Source organism: Homo sapiens, chromosome 6 (genome assembly GCF_000001405.40).
Source record: "Homo sapiens chromosome 6, GRCh38.p14 Primary Assembly".
In the NCBI taxonomy this organism is placed as follows: Eukaryota; Metazoa; Chordata; class Mammalia; order Primates; family Hominidae; genus Homo; species Homo sapiens.
This window is the reverse complement of record NC_000006.12, coordinates 20,776,159-20,798,383: the sequence shown is the minus strand read 5'-3', so window position 1 is coordinate 20,798,383 and position 22,225 is coordinate 20,776,159. Positions and strand designations below refer to the sequence as shown.

General features: G+C 37.2%; 1 protein-coding gene across 15 annotated transcripts in view, besides 1 other annotated feature; it reads right to left on the bottom strand.

Annotated features, from left to right (window-relative positions):
* The window catches only part of CDKAL1 (CDKAL1 threonylcarbamoyladenosine tRNA methylthiotransferase), a 697,948-nt gene that overhangs the window by 434,021 nt on the left and 241,702 nt on the right, over positions 1 to 22,225 (bottom strand). For all 15 annotated transcript variants that reach the window (XM_047418949.1, XM_047418952.1, NM_017774.3 and 12 more), the window contains one exon: positions 17,119 to 17,239. In XM_047418949.1, the coding sequence (XP_047274905.1) occupies positions 17,119 to 17,239 (121 nt within the window). The remainder of the gene's footprint in view (positions 1 to 17,118; positions 17,240 to 22,225) is intronic.
* Positions 361 to 551: a silencer, noted in NCBI's record as "fragment chr6:20798064-20798254 (GRCh37/hg19 assembly coordinates)". NCBI's record gives its function as "represses an EF-1alpha promoter that drives an FKBP-Casp9 reporter gene in an ReSE screen in HepG2 liver carcinoma cells {active_cell/tissue: HepG2}" and the evidence as "EXISTENCE:reporter gene assay evidence [ECO:0000049][PMID:32094911]".

The window sequence follows — 22,225 nt, the reverse complement described above, 5'->3', positions numbered from 1 at the left end:
AGAATAATTTTTTTAAAACTGACATAAATTTCATTTTCTGGAAGGTGTACAGTTCTATGAATTTAGCCTATGTATTGGTATGTGCAACCATCATCAAAAGACTACAGAAGAGTTCTTTTACCCTAGAACATTCCCTTGTGCTATACCCTTACCCAAACACTCTCTGCCCTCCTCACCTCCCAATCTCTAACCCCTAAAAATCCTTGATCTCTTCTCCATCACCATAGTTTTTTCTTTTTGAAAATGTCATATAAATAAATAATATAGGGCAGGTGAGGTGGCTTACAAACCTGTAATCCCAGCACTTTGGGAGGCCGAGGTGGGAAGATCACTTGAGCCCAGGAGTTCAAGACCAGCCTGGGCAACACGGTGAAACCCCATCTCTACAAAAAATACAAAAATAGCCAGGCATGGTAGCACATGCCTGTAGTCCCAGCTACTCCGGGGGCTGAGGTGGGAAGATTGCTTGACCCCAGAAGACAGAGAACGCAGCGAACCGTGGTTGCGCCACTATACTCCAGCCTGGGCGATAGAGCTAGACCCTGTCTCCAAGAAAAAATAAAATAAAATAAAATAAAATAAAATAAAATAAAATAAAATAAAATAAAATAAAATAAAATAAAGCAATCAATCATACATACAGCCTTTTAGTGATTGGCTTATTTCACTTGGCATAAGCTTTTTACATCCATCCAAGATGTTGGGGATGTCAATCATTCATTCCTTTTTTTGTTTGGTGGTATTCAATTAAGTGAACGCAACACAGATGATTTTTCCATTCATTCCCTAAAGGATACAGGAGTTGTTTTCAGTTTGGGCTAATTAGGAAGGAAGCTGCCATAAACATTCATACACAGATTTTTGGGTGAACTTACGTTTTCATTTCTCATACCTAAAAGTAGGACGTTCGTCATATGATAAGTACATGTTTAACTTTTTAGAGAAACTGCTAATTCATTCTCCAAATGGCTGTACCATTTAGCATCTCCAACAACAATGTATGAGAGCTCTAATTGCTCTACATCCTCTCCAGTACCTGGTACTATCAATATTTTTCATTTTACTTGGTCGAATAGGTGAGTTATAGGATCCCTGATGTTAATGATGTCGAAAAACTTTACATGTGCTTAGTTTCCATTTGCATATCCCCTTTTGTGATGTCTCTGTTCAAGTCTTTTACCCGTATTTTAATCTGGTTGTTTTCCTAGTGAGTTTTGAAAGTTCCTTATATATTCTGGATACAAGTCCTATGCTGTGTATGTGATCTGCAAATATGTTCTCCCAGCCTGCAGATTGCTTCTTATTATCTTAATAGTTTCATTCACAGAGCAAAAGTTGTTAATTTTGATTAAGTCCATCTTTTATCCTTTTATAGATCATACTTTTGGGTATCAGGTCTAAGAACTCTTTGCCTAACCATAAATATAGAAACCTTCTCCTATGTTTTATTCTACAATTTTTAAAGTTTTACCTCTTATTTTTTATTTTCATGAATTGAATAAGAAAAAAGGTTTTACATTTTACATTTTGAACTTGGATCCCTTTTGGGTTAACTTTCATATACATTTAACATTTGGGTCAAAGTTTTGTTCTTTTTCCATATGGATACCCAACTGCTCCAGTACAATTTGATGAAAACACTGCTTTCTCCCTTGGATGAACTTTGCGCCTTTGTCAAAATCAACTGCCCATATTTGCATGGGTCTGACCTTCCTGGACTTGTTAGTCTCCTTCCAGTGATTTAATGTGTCTATCCCTTCACCACTACCACACCTCTTGATTGCTGCTACTTTACAGTAAGTCTTAAACTAGGATGGTGTGATTCCTCCAACCTTATTCTTATTCAAAACTGTTTTAGATAACTCTACTTCCCTTGCCTTTCCATATAAAATTTAGCATCCATTTCTCCACTTCTACAAGAAAAATCTTACTGGAATTTGTATTCAAATTACTTTAAATCTATACATCAACTTGAGAATTGTCATTTACTATACTGAATCTTCCAATTCCTGAACATTGCATGATTTATTTAGATCTTCTTTGATTTCTTCTGTTTTGTAAATTTCCATATACATATCCTATACATAATTTGTCAGATTTTTATCTAAGCATTTTTCTTAGAGCTATTGCATAACATAAATAATTTCTGTATTTCCTTTTCCAATTACACATTGCTGGTATACAGAAAGATGTTTTATTTTTATGGGTTTATGTTGTATCCTTGCTATATTCACTTATGAGTTCCAGAAGTTTTATTATGGACTCCTTGAGATTTTCTATGTAGACAGTCATATCATCTGTGAATAGGCACAGTTTTCTTTCTGTATTTTCATAAATCTGGGCCCTGGTATATCTAACATTGACTCCTTTGGAAATAAGAACCCAGGCAGTTACAAGCCTTAGATGCCATGCCTAAATAGAGGGCTGATTCTCAAGGATCACTTATACTGGCCAAGTCAGCTTTAAACATGTTGCATCTACTAGTTCCAATCTCTTTCCTTTGCCCTTGGAATTTGTGTCATCACAGACCTAACAAGCCTTACATAGAAGTTCACCCAAGCACTGGCCAGTTTGACACTCAGGTAGTATATGCTTTTCAAGAGAAAAAATAGCAACATGAGAAATCTATTATATACTTTTTGTTTATGTTTCTTTTTAAAGAATAAACCAAATTTACTATAACCCATTCAGCATATCACCATCTTGGCAACAGCCGTTAGTAAAAATTAAGTCTATGTACTAAGAAAATGTGAAGTAAAAGAACAATTAAAATGAAGTCAATCAATGATGGCATTTCTTAGAAAAGTAAGCTTTAAGATGGTTATTTGGAATATCTGATAAAGTGAATAAATCAGCCTTTCTCAACCACTATTCCAAGAGAATTATGCACTGCAGAAAATAATCTGAGTGACTACTTTTTAATTCTCTCAAGGATAGTATGCAGCTAATATCATTCTAGATGCTTGGGAGAAGGTTAATTCACTAAATAATGAATGCCTTAGGACATTCAATCACATATGTTTAGGCTTAATTCTCTCAGAAAACATGAACTGAGAAAGGCTGGAATAGAGATTCAAGACTCAAGAAACAGCAAAAGAGACTTTAGAATGAAAACATACCATTAGCATTTAGAAACTGAGTCGTAAAAACATTTTTATTGAGAGCTTCTATGAGCTAGTAACTATTAGGTACTAGAAATACAAACATATAAACCTATAGGAATTAAAGGAAGGTAAATGGCAGAACCAGAAGTGTGGATGGGAAAGGTAAATAATGAGTGAATAGAAAAGGAAAACAAGGTGATATGAAGTCCAGAATTTTTCCAAAGGTGCTCTCACACCAAAACAGAAGTCTCAATAGTGCCTTTATCCCATGTAATCAAATTCACTTGACAGATAATCTCACTGTTTTCCTCTGATCCACCAAACAGTATTGGTCACAGTGATACCAGTTTCTGGTATTTTGACCTACATATATTTCAATACAAACTAACATCAAATATCATTTTATGATGTCTTGCAGACCACAAACAAAATCTAATCTGCTTTCTAATCCTTTCACTGACCCCTAAAATCCTAAAGATGAAGGTGTATCACCTGTGAGAGTAACCTCTGTTTGTCATGAACCTTATTCTCCTAAAAGTGAGTACAATCTGTGGGCCACCAAACTTTCGGACATTAGTCCTTGGGGCCTCAGTTTTATCATCTATGAAAAGATTTTAAATCTCTAAAATCCTTTCTAGCTCTAACAGTCTATGAATATGTGAATCTGCCAAAAAGATTTTTAATTAACTATGAATAGTTTTGTATTAAGAAAGTGTGTGGGTAGTAGGTATTTGGCCATGGGGCTACAAATAATAAAGAAACTTATTAAGTATTTTACAAAGTCTACCCCTAATTAAAAGGGTTTTTTCCCATCTCTTACAAAAAAAGTCTTCAGATCATTCTCATTAGCTGGTAAGAGATTTTAAGCAGTGTAGCACATAAACAAATAGCTTAAATCAAACTGTTGCTCACTGTGTGAACTGTCATGCTACTCTACTATCTATCCAAACACTTGGCAAGGCAGTGTTACAAAAGACAAATCCATATATTTACAGTAGATATATTTAAATTCAACTACTTCTTTCTCACCTACTATACCAAAAAAAGAGGCTTTTAATAAAACATGATTCTTACATAAAAGTCAAAAGTGTGGGCTCAAAAGAAAAAGCAGATACAGAAAATGGAAAAATAAGAGAACAAAACAATAATTTAAAGAAGGATTTTAAAAAACTACAAGATAAGGGAACAGAAAATACAGACATTAAAAGATCAGTCAATTAAAGCCGTCTAGGATCTACAGGTCTCTAAGTTTAGAAACCTTTAAGATATATATGTATAAGCAAAGCAGTATTGGGATAAACAAAAGAAACTAAGAAATTAGGCAAGCCATACTGATGCTGTTCAAATAAGCATTTGTAAAGTACATCAGAAAATATTCTATGCATGAGTCTCAGTCACAGTTAGATTTTGAATTAGGATATATTTATATATGTATATATATATTATATATAACCTAATTAGGATATATATATATATAATATATATCTGAAAGAATTAAATTTAAAATTAAAAAAAAACAATCCCTGAAATGTCTATATTATTCTTTCTTCCATCACTCATCCTTGAATATCTACCATACAAATTGAAACTTAATGGAGTATTAAAGTATGTTAGTTATATTCCAAATGTAACATTTGGATGACAAATCTCCAATAAAATTAAGAAAATTAATTATTTGATAAATTATTTGATAAACAATCATTTGATAAATAACTGACAAATAACTGCAAAATATTTAAGTGCAAGTCAACTCACTTATACAGAAGACTCTCATTATGCCAACCATCACGTTGCCATTATTAGGCATCATGGAAACAACAGGAAAATTTGCCTTCAGCAGTAGCAGAATCTCAACCATACTCCATCCTCATGGGCATTTGACATCTCTTTTTCCAAGATGCGTGCAATGTGTCAACATCAACGCCGCTACTGACACCTTGTCATTATTTTTGTTGCTTTGCCTCTTCCTTTGCATATAATTGAGAATTAAGGTAGGAAAATTTTAAAAATAAGACCAATAGTAGAAATAAGAATGAGAAAGTTGAAGTAGACAGAAAGGGGCTTTAACAATTGCAATCTTTTTTGGAAGTGAAATTAGGGGCGTTAATTTTAGGAGTAAGCACAGAAATCTACACTCAAAGGATCCCGGGTTGACTGAATTCCAGAGTGAGAACAATATGTGATGCTAGTGACAGAATTCTCAATAGTGGCAAATTACCAAAGAACGTGCTGCTGGTTCACATGACATACATGTTGTACACCATTATTGTATGAGCCTATTTTCAGCTATCACATTTGAAACAAGTCTGATACATTCCCCATATTTGTGGTAAACTTCTAGGTACACAACTCTAAGTCCTACACATATAAAACTACTATTATATTCCATGTAGACTAAAACAAAATTATTTCCCAGTTAACTAAACTACACTAGACTGTAAGGCTCCCAAGAGCAGTGATACATTACTAGGTCTTGTTTCTTTTATTGCACTTAGTACATTTTCAGATACATAGAGATGTTCTGCAAATTTCTGTTGAGTAAATGAGTGAATGAGTAGAGAATAAAACAAACCAATGAATAAAACAGACCACCAATCTTGATAGAGGATATCTTCCAGTTACAAGGGGCTCCTGGTCCTAAATAAATAAATCCATACTTGCATATCTTGTTCTCATAAACTTATATAGAAAAAAATAACAGAGACAGGAGAAAGTGGGGGAGGAGAACGGACTAAAAATTCCATTTCAGAAAGTTTATGTTTTCCGCAAGAGCAGTAACAGAACAGTACATAAAATATATTTCACAAGGGAGAAAGAACTTTGTAAACCTATATGATCTCACAATTAATACTTACTTTAAGGTTAACCTAAAAAGAACCACAAAAATATACATTACAAATCACAAAGGTACATACATTGTTTAAAAACTGAAACCAGTATTTTTAAAAATGACCTCGTTTTAAACCCAGTTTTCTTAGTGGATTTACCAAAAAATAGACACTCCTCAGAGACTGTTTCATCAGATAAAGTAAATGAGGTCTTAACTACATGCACTATTGCCTTTTTAAAAAGCCAAACAAAACATTCTGCTTTGTCAGGGTTAGAAAAAAATAAAACAACTGGTGCTACCATGCTGAGATGCAGTCAAATAAAAGCAAAGTGGTTTCAAAAATAAATATGGGATATATATTATTCTTGTATTGGAAAAAACTGACAGGCCCTCGTCCACAATCACATGTGTGTTCAATTATACTTAATTAAAGTTGGGCTACACAAGTTTCAGGGTTTTTTTTTTTCTCTCTCTTGATAGGGCTGGAAAACAAGTTTTCTTAAAGCAACAGGAAAGCTGACAGATGGTGGCTCTTTGGATACATCCAATGATCTGCTCCTACTGTGCCCTTCCAAGTGCAACTCACTTTCATGCACCTTAGCTCCAGTAGAAGTGGGAAAAAAAAAGGCAAGAAAGGAAGGCACAATGGTCATACATCTCTATATGATTTAGCAGTCCCTCCTTTAAAATAACCATAATAGGAATTTCAAATTCCATTCCATTGGACAAAATGGATGCATCTTAGGAGTCATCTGACAATACAACATAGATACACAGCAGAAATTCTCCCAGCCTACCTCCACTTGACAGACTCACTACATTAGCCCCATATTCCCCATTCTCTCTGTAAAACTCTGCTGCGTACGGCATGTTTCTCAGATTTAATAGGCTATCTTCCAGATGAGTCTCAAACTTTAGCTCTAAGTGGCTTTCCTTTCAATTAACTAAACAACTACAGTACAGACCCAGAAGCAGAAAATGAGGCTAGAGGCCACTGACGTTATGGTTTATTGAAAAAAACTGGTCAGATGATGTGGTTCGAGTCACAATTCTGCCACTTACTAGCTCTGTGGCCTTAAGCAAATAGCAGTCTACGTAAGCCTGAGGTTTGCCTTCTCATAGCTATCATAGTAATAAAGTTAATAATACTATATATTGAACAGATACTATGTGCCAGGCATTGTGCTGATTAAACCTGTGACCTCTTTTCATTCTCACAACACTATTATTATCATCATCACTTTATAAATGAGGAAACTGAAACCTATAGAGAGGTTGAATAACTTATGCCAATGATAGCAGCAGGAGGCAGACAAATGCCTAGGCAGAGGGTGTCGGGTCCCCAGTGAAACCCCACTTTCAAACCAAAGACAGTTTAAAGCCTGAAAGCCAAGCTACAAGTCAAATCCACGGACCGGATTGAGAACCTGTCTTCTCATTTGGCACACTTCCCTCTGATTGATCCCCCCTCCTCCACCAATTTTACTTTAACCTACCCTTTCCTTATTGGTTTTCTACACTGTCGTGCCTACCTTTGAATGGTGCCTTCATTTTAACCTTTTTTGTGTACTCACAAACCAATCAGCATGCACTCCCCATTCTGAGACCCTAAAAAGCCCCAGACCCAGACACACAGAGAGAGAGAAACCACCCAACTACAGGGGTGGGGGGACCACCCCCTGCATCCCCTGTCCACTGAGAGCTGTTCCATCACTCAAGAAAATTCTTCTCTGCCCATCCTCACCCTTCTAATTGTCAGTGTAAGCTCATGCTTCTTGGATGTGGGACAAGAGCTTGGGAACCACCGAATGCTATAGCACAGGTGGACCGAGTGGGCAGGGCGCCTCCAGTGGTAGGCCCAGGGCTGAGTGAGGCCTGGATCAGGGGGCATCACTGGCTGTGGAGGTCTCTGGTTGGCAAAGTGGCCACGAAAAATCCAGCGTCACCAAGTTCGGAGCCCAAGCATTCTCAAGCTACCTTTCTCCGACCATTCCCTTATTCAAAACACCACCACAGTGACTCATCATTCTCTGTGTAAGACATGGTTTTTCACAATGCAATAACCACTGCTTATGGGTTTTGTTTTGGTTCCCCCCACCCCACCAGTGCTTAAATTGCCTTTAAATCCACCTATAAGATATTTTAAGACACAGCCTAAATATTACTTTCCATGGAAGCACTCTCCAACTCATCTAAACAATCCGTCATACAATGTGAGCTTATAACTTTATTGTTTTGTGCTTGTTGCTTATAACTTTATTGTTTTGTGCTTTTCTATGGGATTCTCAAGGGCAAATACCACATGAACTCATCTTTTTATGTTCAACTACATTTGTTTAACAAATTGATGTCCCGGCTAGGTGTGGTGGCTCACACCTGTAATCCCAGAGCTTTGGGAGGCCAAGGCAGGAGGATTGCTTGAAGCCAGGAGTTCAGGACCAACCTGGGCAACATAACAAAGTGAGATCTTATCTCTACAAAAAAATTAAACAAACAAAAAAACAAATCAACATTCATTTGCAGGGCTCTTTGGTCTTCTTAAAGAACAAACATATGAAATAAATAAGCTGATTCTTAAAGATAACAAATATAATGAGCTTTCTCAACTGTAAAAGCATCTCTAAGTTGTTCTATCAATGCATATCCACTCCATGAACTAACCTGAAGAAAGTGTTGACCATTCTACCCAATTAACTGTAAACTAAGATTGCTTTAATGGTTTGCCTAAATTTGAGTACCTTTAAATTTTTGCTTTTTATCCAAATTCATTCTCCCTTCTTCAAATTAAATAGTTTTGTTAGAAATCGGATAAGCAAGATGTACTTTTTAGAAAGGGCAATAGAATCCTACAACATGCTAGAATTTGAAATGTTTTTTTAAATCAGTAATTTCTCTATGCTAGTAACTAAGAAAATTATATACATATTCATTTCAAAGTTTATTTCAAATAATGATTAAAAAGTTTACAAAATATAACATTAACTCCTAATACTGTCCAAGCTTTTTGACTGAGCTGCTCTCTTTAAAAGCATTCACTAAGCCAGCATTTGAAAGCTCTGCAACTTAAGGATAATTACTTCGCAGGTATGAGCCTATAGTGCCATCCACTGTTCCTATGAATGATCTTTCCCAAGTACAGTCTTATAATGCACTAGAAATAAATATTACTTTAAAATTTCATTTGTATAATATTTTAGTGAAAATAAGATATTTTGGGATTCCGTTGAAGACATAAAAAAGGCTGCAAATTTTAGGACAACTGGTTTGTGGACAAAAGAGTAAAAACGCAGTTCACAATTGCCATAAATGCCTCAATTTCACACATTTAATTGTTTCATATAACTTTCACTTCATTCATAGTCCAAACTATCATATTCTCTTTTCTACAAAACAATCATCTATAGTAAGAGAAGCAATTCGAACTATATTCCAGGTTAGCCAGAAAATTTTTTCTGCATTTAAGAAACACTGCTGTCAAGTGAAATACTTAACAAACATTTATGGAGTGAATACTGTGAGAAAGACACTGCGCTGAAAGCTACAGGAGAGACTAAGATGAATTTTTTTTGTTTGTCAAACATTCACTTAAAACTGAACAGGTGAAATAGGAAATTGAAGAACCAACATTGAACAGCATAAAGTCGTAACCTCACATTCTAGTCCCAGCAAATTTCTTACCTAAATAATAGAAAGAATAAAAAGAAATCAAGGGTAGAAGGGGTCTCAGAGAATGACGGTAGAGTAGAAGATACAGCAGCATCAAGATTTGAAAGAAAATATGTATTAATGTGCTAAGCTATACATTCAGTAGGTAGCACTATACCCATGCCAGAAAAGACATCATCTCTAAGATCTCACCTAATTTACTCAAGTCATGCAGCTAGAAAATAAAGTGTCTATGACTACAAACTCCAAGTGCAGAGCTCTTTCCAATGTATTATAGATTCTACTACCTTCTCCAGAATAGGCTGGTGTCACATTCTCGGCTCATGACAAAGATTAAGGTTCCTGCCACCCATAAAGCTTACAGAAGAACATGAATAATAACCACAGCTCTGTACTCACCTTACGGTGTGCAAATATAGCAGTTATAATACCTAGATTTTAAGTTTCATGAGAGCCATGTTAGGAAAACTATACATTTACTTTTGAAAGAATATAATGTAGTGAACATCATATAAATTGTGTGACTTGATGTAAGCTACAACTGTTAGGCACAGTCACACTCTTAGCTAGTATTTAATCAGAAAGGCCACCTTCCAGAGGAGATTGCTCTGTATGTTTAAGCTATCTTTTATCTTTAGTCAATACTAGAAGCTTTGCTAATTAGCATGTAAATAATAAGTTTCCATTTTTGAAAGTACTGGTCAACTACTAATTACAAGTAGTTAATAGCATAAAAGACAGTCGAAATAGGGTCTCAGTTAAAGAAGGGACACTCAAGATAAGTAGATTGGGTAAAATATTTTCCAAAACAGAATAAAGAATCTTACAACACACACTAGCCTAAATCAGTGTTTCTCAAACTATATATAGTGACAGAGCAGGATTTTTACTTCCAACCTCTTATAAACCAGTATCTGTGTAAAATACAGTGAAAATGAATTATAACTCACTGTAGTGACGTTAAACTGCCTTAAAAGTCTCTATTTGTGTACTCATCACAGACCAACAATCTATAGTTAACTGGTCCACAGAACACAGTTTGGTTAGTACTGGCCTAGACCATTAAAGATATGATTCTGGCTTGGTCCCTGACACACTCTCACTCCAGACACTAGGTAAGGAATTCTGGTTGCCTGAGGATGTATTATCTACAGTGAGACAGTATGTTGCTTCATGTGGCTCAAGTGAACCTTTCATACAAAGTTTGATTTCACCACCCAAAAAGAGAGACAACGAGGACTCCACCAACGTTACAAGAACAGCTGGACCGTGCCAGCTTGCTTACTAAATTCTGGTTGGAGACTGTGGACTAGGACTTGCTTTCATTATAATCTGACAGCTGAGTTGTCAGGTTATAATGAAATAATGAGTTTGAAATATCCATTCAAATATTTGTAGATAGCCTACGTATCCAGAAATGGAATAGGAACTGATAAATTTTGTACATTACAGACATAAAGTGTAAAAATATGAGTTAGTTTTCGCAAAGCCAGAGTGTTACAGGGGGAAAAAAATGCTTTTTAAAATGATAATAAATTCAAGAATATAAGCTCAAAGAAAATTATATTCCCCTTAAAGGTTCTCAGTTACCACCATATGTCTGTCTGATGGCAAATAACAAGAAAGACAAGATAAATTTTAAAAGATAAAGTATCAGTAAAATATCACAGGGTCAGACAGTAATTTCTAAGATGTGTTTTGCCTGAGGGAGGATTTCAAACCTTCAAGCTAAGGATAATCTGATAGGAGTATCTTAAAAATGATATAATTTATATAAGAACTGTTAAGCAGCATCTAACTCTTGGCTTTGGAAGATAAAAATTGCCAAAGAACTGTCAAAAAGGATGACTTTCATAGGGTCAGAGAAGGTAAAATAAAGCACAGATGTCCTTTATGCCACAATTTCCAATTTTTTACTTTTGTCCCCTACACTACCTCCTACCCGTCTCCACACCGTATTCCCACTGCTAGAAAAAATAAGGGAGTCAAGGCCGGGAGCGGTGGCTCACCTGTAATTCCAGCACACTGGGAGGCCGAGGCAGGCAGATCATGAGGTCAGGAGATCGAGACCATCCTGGTTAATACGGTGAAACCTCGTCTCCACTAAAAATACAAAAAATTAGCCAGGCATGGTGGCGGGCGCCTGAAGTCCCAGCTACTCAGGAGGCTGAGGCAGGAGAATCGCTTGAACCCGGGAGGCGGAGCTTGCAGTGAGCTGAGATTGTGCCACTGCACTCCAGCCTGGGTGACAGAGCGAGACTCCATCTCAAAAAAAAAAAAAAAAAAAAAGATAAGAAAAAATAAGGGAGTCACACAAATGGGAGACCTGACGAAAACAGCTTATCAACCTTAGCTTATTTCTTCCATTCATGCACATGTTGACTCCCTATGATACTGACCATAACATTTGGTTGACTTTTTAAAAAATTCTACATAAATATCCACACACACCGTATCCTGCTGTGCCCATCCAAAATTTATACAATCTGAAATTTTCAACTTCTTCCTTGGCTAAAGCAACTGATGTACTTTTATGTTTTGTTTTATTTTATTTATTTAGAGATGAAATCTCACTCTGTCACCCAGGCTGGAGTGCAGTGGTGTGATCTCAGCTCACTGCAACATCCACTCCCTGGGTTCAAGCAATTCTCCTGCCTCAGCCTCCCGAGTAGCTGGGATTACAGGCACGCACCAACCACCACATCCAGCTAATTTTTGTATTTTTAGTAGAGGCAGGGTTTCAGCATGTTGGCCAGGCTGGTTTCAAACTACTGACCTCAGGTGATCCACCTGCCTTGGCCTCCCAAAGTGCTGGGATTACAGGCATGATCCACTGCACCTAGCCATACTTTTATATTTTAAGCTAGAAATATAACAAGGCATAACAACTTTGCAAAGTCTAATGGTTCTAATAGTAACTTCAGTAATTTACTAATACATACAATAAAAGTTGCTACAAATGGGACCCTTTTCCTAAACGAAAAATGAAAAATTTATGGAAAGTGAAATCTACATATTTAATGTGGAAGCAATAAAATTTTGAAAAGTGTGAGGATTTTACTGAGAAGGCTCATTTTCTACTGAAAAATAATTATGAGTATAATCATATTAAAACATTTAAAAGTAAGTGAAAAAAAGCAATGAGCTCCACCAGCATGAAAAAAATGAAATCTGGCTGGGCATAGTGGCTCACACCTGTAATCCCAGCAATTTGGGAGGCTGAGGTGGGTGGATCACAAAGTCAGGAGTTCGAGACCAGCCTGGCCAATATAGTGAAACCCCATCTCTACTAAAACAAAAATTAGCCGGGTGTGGTGGCGTGTGCCTGAAGTCCCAGCTACTCAGGAGGCTGAGGCAGAAGAATCAATTGAACCCAGGAGGCGGAGGTTGCAGTGAGCCAAGATCGTGCCACTGCACTCCAGCCTGGGCGACAGAGCAAGACTCCATCTCAAAAAAAAAAAAAAAAAAAGAAAAAGAAATCCAAGCTAATATGTTATAGAATGATAGTGTGGACAAATACGTATGGGAATGCTTTCATGTGAGAGCAAGTGATAAGGCTGCAACTGATTCAGGAAGATGATTAGCAGTCTGAGAAAATTAGAAACCCATTTCTCATTCTGGGACAATATGGATTAAATTTTCTTAATATCAAAAGCATTATTTGCTAATGTACCGAGGATCAACACTCTACTCTAATGTGAAGGATACAAGAGGATGAGAGTGATGCCAAATCCAGTGAGCTTTCAATCTTTTAAAGAGCAGGCCCATTTGAAGAAAACATTAAGTCTACAAGAGGGAAAATTCAAATAATATACATAAAAAATTTTACCTAAAGGCTATTGAAAATGGTTACCTAAAGCAAATTTTTAAAATTTAAAATTGTAAACATTAAAAAAATTTTAAATATTTTTAAGATTAATTTTTAATTAATGTACAGCAACAAGAACTCATAACTTATAAAACATTTACTCAACAAATATTTATTGAGTGCAGGCAGCCCTCTGTATCCATGTGTGTGCCATATCTACAGATTGAACCAATCATGGATTGAAAATATCTGGGGCCAGGTGCAGTGGCTCATGCCTATAATCCCAGCACTTTGGGAGACCGAGGTGCGTGGATCACAAGGTCAGGAGTTCGAGACCAGCCTGGCCAATATGGTGAAACCCCGTCTTTACTAAAAATACAAAAGCTAGCTGGGTGTGGTGGCACACGCCTATAGTCCCAGCTACTCGGGAGGCTGAGGCAGAAGAATCACTTGAACCCAGGAGGGCGGAGGTTGCAGTGAGCCGAGATGGTGCCACTGCACTCCAGCCTGGGTGACAGAGTGAGACTCTGTCTCAAAAAAAAAAAAAAAAAAAAAAAAAAAAAGAAATAAAATATCTGGAAGAAAAAAAACACTTAAAAATAATGCAATAATTAAAAGAAGCCAAATTTTTAAAATACAGTATAACAACTATTTAGGCAGCATTTCTATTGTATCAGGTATTATTAGTAATCTAGAGATGATTTAAAGTATATGGGAAAAAGTAAGTGGGTTATATGCAAATACTACACTTTTTTTTTTTTTTTAAGACGGAGTCTAGCTCTATCTCCAGGCTGGAGTTTAGTGGCACGATCTCAGCTCACTGCAACCTCTGCCACCCAGGTTCAAGTGATTCCCCTGCCTCAGCTTCCCGAGTAGCTAGGATTACAGGCACGCGCCGCCACGCCCAGCTAATTTTTGTATTTTTAGTAGAGTCGGGGTTTCACCTTGTTGGCCAGGATGGTCTCAATCTCCTGCCCTCATGATCCATCCACCTTGGCCTCCCAAAGTGCTGGGATTACAGGCATGAGCCACCACGCCCGGCCAATACTACACCATTTTATATGAGGTACTTGAGTATGCATAGATGTTGTATCTGAGGAGGTCCTGGAACTAATCCCCTACAGATACCGAGGGACAATTGTACTCACTTTGTACTAAACACTGAACTCAAAGATAATAATGTAATGACAACTGAAACACATTCAGCCCCCAAGGAGCTTACATTGTAGTGGAAGATACAAATGACATAGTGTGTAAAGTGCCATAATCAGGATACATAGGGAATGTTGTGGACACAAATTAGAGTGAGGGATAGATTTAGCCTGGTTGGGAGGGAGAAACAAGCAGACATCCCAAGAAATGAGCACATAGTTGAGTGCAGGAGGCTCACCCATGAGGTGAACGGGGAAGGACAGACATGCCAGGAAAACCCTTCAACCTACAGGGAGGCCTGCAGTCAAGACAGAGAAGAATCTGGAGTTTTGAGAATTTCAAGTAGTTCAGGAAGACTGAATACTGGGGTGTGAAGTAGGGAGTGACAAAATGAAGAAGAACATAGGGACTAGAAAAATAAACAGTTAAAAACAGACACTCAGTAGGCCAAATACGTACCTGGAAAGTTACCATGCAGAGACCTAATGGATCCTAATCTAACAGAGTTTGACAGACCCTGAAATACTAATGTTTTAAAGGCATGTGTCTAGCCAAAAGCCCCGCATAAACACACACACAAAACCGGCATTTTTCAGCTGGGTGCAGTGGCTCATGCCTGTAATCCCAACATTTTTGAAGGCCAAGGCAAGTGGATTGCCTGAGTTCAGGAGTTTGAGACTAGCAGGGGCAACACAGTGAAACTCCATCTCTACTAAATTAGAAAAAATTAACCGGGCATGGTGGCGTGCACCTGTAATCCCAGTTACTCGGGAGGCTGAGACAGGAGAATCACTTGAACCCGGAGGCAGAGGTTGCAGTGAGCCAAGATCACGCCATTGCACTCCAGCCTAGGTGACAGAGGGAGACTCCATCTCAAAAAAAAGAAAAAAAAATCTGCATTTTTCAGGAGAAAGTGTGATTAGCCAGCAAACTCCAAATATTATTGTCCAATTTGCAAGGCAATCTGTACCATGATGATAATTTAGCATAGTCCCACTAAACTGTCAAATTTTAAAACTTATTCATTCATTCAGTCAATAAATAAATATGCATTAAATCCCTACTGTGTATAATTTTCTACTCACTGGGGATAGAGTGGTAAATAACACAATCAAAAAGGCCCTGCCCCCATGGAGCATATATGCCAGTGAGGAGAGACCATTAAAATACAAATAAATGATCATTTATATATTTCAATGCCAATTAAAGTTACAGAGGAAAACAAGGCAACTGAGAAAAAGAGAAGGAATGTTAGAAAGTTTGCAATTTTAAATAGGATAATCAGGAGTTGCGGGAAAGTATTATAATGTTTGAATGAAGGGGAAAAAAGAACTGAGGAAGGGGAAAGCAAACAGCCTTGCATTTATAATTCGGCTCAGGCTAGACAGACAGAATGAATATGTGAGGTACTCCAGTCAAGCGACAACTGTACTTCTCACTGTTAAATTCTGCTTTAATTACTAGTTTCTGAGCTTGATAAGTTTGGGTTTCTGAATCTTCAACGCTGAAGGCCAGATGCTGGTCTACAACAAATTCACCAAGTCACTGAATGCCACTCCATGGGGTTTTTTGGGAAAAACCGAATGACTTTGGTCAACCTTCTCTAGTCTTTGACAGCAGTGTGGAGGATAAACCAGAAAGTGGTGAGACTACAGAAAAGAGGGCTACTGACAACACAACCGCCACTGTCCTGGAGGAAGTAAAGCCATTGGATTCAGAGAAACAGGCAGATGGTGGACAAGGAAGCTGTTCACCGGTTCTCAATGAGAAGGAGCATGAAGAAAGAGCAGAACAGAAGGAAAACAATTTCAAATAAAAGGGAAGGAGGATGAAGTAAAAGGGGCAGAACAGCTTAAATCTGTGGGGAATGAGATGTGGTTGTACGGGTAATTAGGTGCTCCCTGTGATTTAAGAAACAGAAGCCCTTCATCTCATCAAATTTTCAGAAAATGTTTCTTTTTCTGATGGACTCATAATTTAAAGAATGCAAAAATTCAATAAATGCATATGAAACAAAGTATAAATGAGTATACCAAGAGTTATAATCAAGGACTTTAAATCAAGGTGTGGAAATTAAAAGAGTACTTAATATTCTGTCATGATGCTTCTTTTAAGTTTAAAGCTCAGAATAATAACATTTTAAAATATGCATTTCAAATAGTGAATAATCAAAACGTGGTTAGTATCTTGGGCAACATTTACCATACCTTTACTGAAAAAAACAGTCGAATATGACAAGTGTCTTAATCATTCAACAAAATAAAGTGCTACTTTTTTCAAAGATTTTAAGTAAGGGCATAGCTGGGAAATGAAATCCATGTTTATTATGTTTATTACCAAAAATGGGAATAATATTAAAGTTATAAAAGCCTGCTGCAAATATAAGTGTAGTTTACATACAGGAAACATTTCAGAAGAAACTGTATTTGAGCACATTTTGTAATTTTTCTTTCCCAAGAAAATGTTCAGCTACTTTTCTATGTCACATGTCCAAGAAAAAAAAACTGAATTCATGAAATATATTGAATATTTTATGAGCAAGTTTGAGAGATGCTTACCCGGTATTGATGGAAATGATTTCTATCAGTGGATTCTTCCTAATCTTCGGCAAATCCAATCGTGCTCCCCCAAGCCGCCTTCCATTATCCTTTTTCTGACCCAGCAGTCTCACAGAGTGACCTTCAAATCAAGCACATAAATATACATTAGCAAGAGTTACACACTTCACTGTAACTTAACGCTTTCAACAAATGTGTTCATTTAACTTCTTTTCGGGAGCAGGGGAAACAACATAGAAGAGTGAAGTGTGATCATTTAAACTTCAGAAATACTGTCAAAAGGAAAAACAGTGGCCAGGTGCAGTGGCTCACACCTGTAATCCCAGCACTTTGGGAGGCCAAGGTGGGTGGATCACCTGAGGTCAGGAGTTTGAGACCAGCCTGATCAACATGGTGAAACTCCATCTCTATTAAAAGTACAAAAATAAGCCGGGTGTGGTGGCGGGCGCCTGTAATCCCAGCTACTCAGGAGGCTGAGGCAGGAGAATAGCTCGAGCCCGGGAGGCGGAGTTTGCAGTGAGCCCAGATGGCACCACTGCACTCCAGCCTAGGTGACAGAGTGAGACTCCATCTCAAAAAAAAAAAAAAAAAAAAAGAAAAAGAAATGAAAAAAAACAAGAAAAACAGCTGTATTCAGGGCCTACTTGCTTTGCTTATATTTGCACAGATGAGAAACAGAATACCCTCAAAATATCATTTCTACAGGTATAAATACTCTCTAGCATATGCCAAATATGCATGTGCAGCAGGAAGGGTTTGCTTGGGCACTAGGCCTGCCTGCCATTACATTGCAGAAAAAATGAGTAATTAAAAAAAAGCAAAACCAAGTATCTGCTCAAAGCAAACAACAAATCAAACAAGTAAATAAACAAAAAGCTGAGATAAAATTATACTTTAGGGCTGGATTTTTTTTAAACAAACAAACATTTTAAACTTATTTTTACACACTATCACAAAAGGAAATCAGATCACTATTAAGAGCCATTAAAACATTTGTAATTTTTTAATTTTGATATAATTTCACACTTGTAGAAAAAGTGGAAGAATACAATACAAAAAAATCCCATACCCTTCAGATTCAATTATTATTTTACCATATTTACTTTGTCATTTTTTCTTTCTATATGGACATATTGCATTTTGTCTTTTTTTTTTTTTTTTTTTTTAAGGTTAGGTTTTTTAAGAGACAGGGTCTCACTATATTGCCTAGGCTGATTTCAAACTCCTGGGCTCAAGCAGTCCTCCTGTCTCAGCCTCCCAAAGTGCTGGGATTACAGGCATGAGCCACCGCACACAGCCTAGACCTATTGTTTTTATAACTTTACTGAGGTATATCCCATAGCCTATAAAATTCACACACTATGAGAGTAAGAGTCAATGATTTTAAATACATTTATAAAGTTTTGGCCAGGCATGGTTGCTCACACCTGTAATCCCAGCACTTTGGGAGGCCAAGGCAGGCAGACCAGCCCAACCAGCATGGTGAAACCTCATCTCTACTAAAAATACAAAAATTAGCTGGGTGTGGTGGTGTGCACCTGTAAACCCAACTACTCGAGAGAGTGAGACAAGAGAATCACTTGAACCTGGGCAGCAGAGGTTGCAGTGAGCCAAGATCACGCCACTGCGCTACAACCTGGGTGACACAGCGAGACTCCGTCTCAAAGAAAAAAAGTTTTATAATCATCACAATAACTCAATTTTAGAACACAGGATGTCAATGTTCTAAAACTGAATGAAACAACTGAATGGAACATCACCCCAAAATAAGAATTTGGGGGGTGATGTAAGTGTTCTAAAATTGAGCTTATCAGAGTCTATCTCTATTCACATACCAAATATAGGGAATTTTGTCAATCCATTGACCAGCTGATTGACATTTGAATTGCTTCCAATTAACAGCTACCATAAAAATGCTTCTGTGAACATTCACATACAAGTTTTTGTATGGACATATGTTTTATTTCCCTTGGATATATTCCTAGGAGTAGAACTGGTGGATCATGTGGTAAATTTATGTTTAACATTTTAAGAAACAACTGCTTACGAAAGCAGTCATACCATTTAATGTTCCCATCAGCAATGTATGAGGTTTTGAGTTTCTTCATATCCTTGCCAATACTTAGTACTACGGCTTCTTATGATAACAGCCATTCTAATGGGTGTGTAGTGGTATATGACTGTGGTTTGAATACTCATTTCCATAGTGAGGAATGATGTTGAGTACCTTCTCATGTGATTATCAGCCAAATGTATTTCTTATTCAGTAGAATGTTATGACGATTAATTTTATATGTCAACTTGACTGCGCCACAAGGTACACGGATATTTTGATATTATTCTGAACGTCTCTGTGAGGGTGTTTCTAGATGAGATAACATTTGAATTGGTACACTGGGTGAAGCAAATTGTTTTCCCAGTATGGATGAGCCTCGTCCAATTAAATAAAAGTCTCAATTTAAAAAAAAAGGCTAAAAGTGAGCTCCTCCTGACTGTCTGTACGAGCCAGAACATAGGTCCATTTCGGCTTTCAGATTCACACTGAAATATTGGCTCTTCTTGGGTCTCAAGTGTGCCAGCCTGTGGACTGTAACTTAACACCATTGGCTCTCCTGTTTCTTAGGCCTTTGAACTCAGACTGGAACTACATACACATCAGCTCTCTGAGGTTTCCAGCTTGCTGAACGCAGATCTTGGGACTTCTCAGCCTCCATGGTTGCATGTGCCAATTCCTTACACTACGTCTCTTTCCATACATACACCCATTGGTCCCAACTAATATAAATGTCTACTCCAGTATTTTCCCAGTATTTTAATTAGAGTATTTGTCTTACTGAGTTGTAAGAATTATTTACATATTATGGTTATAAGACCTTTATCAGATATATGATTTATAAATATTTTCTCTCAGTCTGTGGCTTATATTTTCACTTTCACAATGGTGTGCCTTGAAAAGTAAATGTTTTTTCAATTTAATGAAGTTCAATTTATCCAGTTTTTTCTTTTATGGCTCATGCTTTTGGTGTCACATCTAAGAACTCTTTAGCTATATTAAGGGCACAGAGATTTCTCCTGTGTTTTCTTCCACATGTTTTATTGTTTCTGTTCTTATATTTATGTCTAGAATTCACTTTATTTTTATGTACAGTGAAGGCCTAAGCTCTTTTTTTAATATGAATATTCAACTGTCCTGATGCTATTTATTTTCCTTCTTCCTCTTTTGTGCTATTGGCACACATATTAACATATACAGTTATATACAGTAGCACCACTTATCTGTGGTTTTGCTTTCCACAGATTCAGTTACCCACAGTACAGTATAATAAGGTATTTTGTGACAGGGAGAGACACTCCACATTCACATAACTTTTATTACAGTGTATTGTAATAATTATTCTATTTTCTCACTAATGTTGTCAATCTCTTACTGTGCCTAGTTTATGAATGAAAACTTATCATAGGTATGGATGTATGTATGGGAAAAAACATGGTACATACAGGGTTTGGTACTCTCCATAGTTGCAGGCATCCACTGGGGATCTTGGAATGTATCTCTCATGGTTAAGGGGAGACTCATGTAAAGCTAAAAATATGGTGCTATAATTATTGTTTTTTACGTAATTGTATGTTTTTTTCCGTTTTGTTTTCTATGAGACAGGGTCTCACTCTGTCGCCCAGGCCGGAGTGCAGTGGCACAATCACGGCTCACTGCAGCCTCGACTTCCTGGGCTCAAGCAATCCTTCCATCTCAGCCTCCTGAGGAGCTGAGACTATAGGTGTGCGCCACCACGTCCAGTTACTTTTTAAATTTTTTTTATAGAGATGAGGTCTTGCCATGTTGCCCAAGCTGGTCTCAAACTCCTGGGATTAGGTGATACTCCCACCTTGGCCTCCCAAAATACTAGAATTAAAAGTATGAGTCACTGCACCTGGCCTATGTTGTTTTTTAATAATGAAAATGTGAAAAATATGTTTACTCATATAAATACCATTTCTAGCATTTTTCACTGCTCCTTGGAATCCAAGTTATCATTCAGTGCCTCTTCTTTTCTGCCTGACAAACTTTCAGTATTTCTTACAAAGCCCATTCCAGTTTCTGCTGCATGTGCAGAAGAAACAACTTCTGGTTAACTGAAGGTATGTGGAGAGTTTCACAAGCCTCATAGCGCTAGCTCAGCTCCCAGAATTCCCTGCTAAAACCCTGGCTAGTCCGTCTGTCCATTGCTTGCACCAAACATGTCAGTAACTTCAGTCCAGTAGAGCCGCAGACCTTCCCTACTGCTTGCCATCAAAATCTCCACTGAACCTGACAGTTCTCCAAATCCACTGAGCTGTCTTGGGAGCAGCAAAGAAGCTGCTGGCTTTCATGGCCTGTTTTGCCCTAGTTGCAACCTTACTCACCGAATAGAGGAGGGAAAATGGAGCAGCCCCAGCATTAATACCACAGACTTACACTGTTTTTATCCAAAGTTCAGTTTTTTCATGAATAAACACTTTTCAGTTTGTTGAATGCTTTTAGTTGATTTCCAGAGTACTGACATGATTTGCTTTTGACTGCTTGTGCAGCTTTAGCATTGCTTTTGAGAAGGTTTGTTGACCTCCTCATGCCATCACGACAGAAGCATATTAAATGCAACTTTTAAAAAGCAATCATTAAAATAACTTCAAATACATAATTCGTACAGCTCTAAGATTCTAAGTAGTTATATACATGTTTCATCGCCTGTCATTTCAGAAAGCTTTATTGCTTAAATATCTCCGGTACAACTTTTCACAACCAAAAGTAATAACACCATCAGTCATAGCCTCTTTGCACTACTCACTTTAATAAGAAACATTTAGTACTTTATTCGTTCTGAAAATGTATGCTCTGATATGGAAACATGCTAAAGTCAAGCAAGCATTTGGCATGTTGGATTCCACAGATTTTCAAGATAAGTTAAACTCTCCAATCAAAAGCCCAGTTAATGAAGAGGTGAGCAAGACTGGCATGCTAACATAATAGTTCTTCAAGAGATGCCAAGAATTCAATAATGACTATGCAAAGGCATGCTATTTTCATACTTGCATGAGACAAATTTCATTATATCCTGCTGCGACTCCAGTA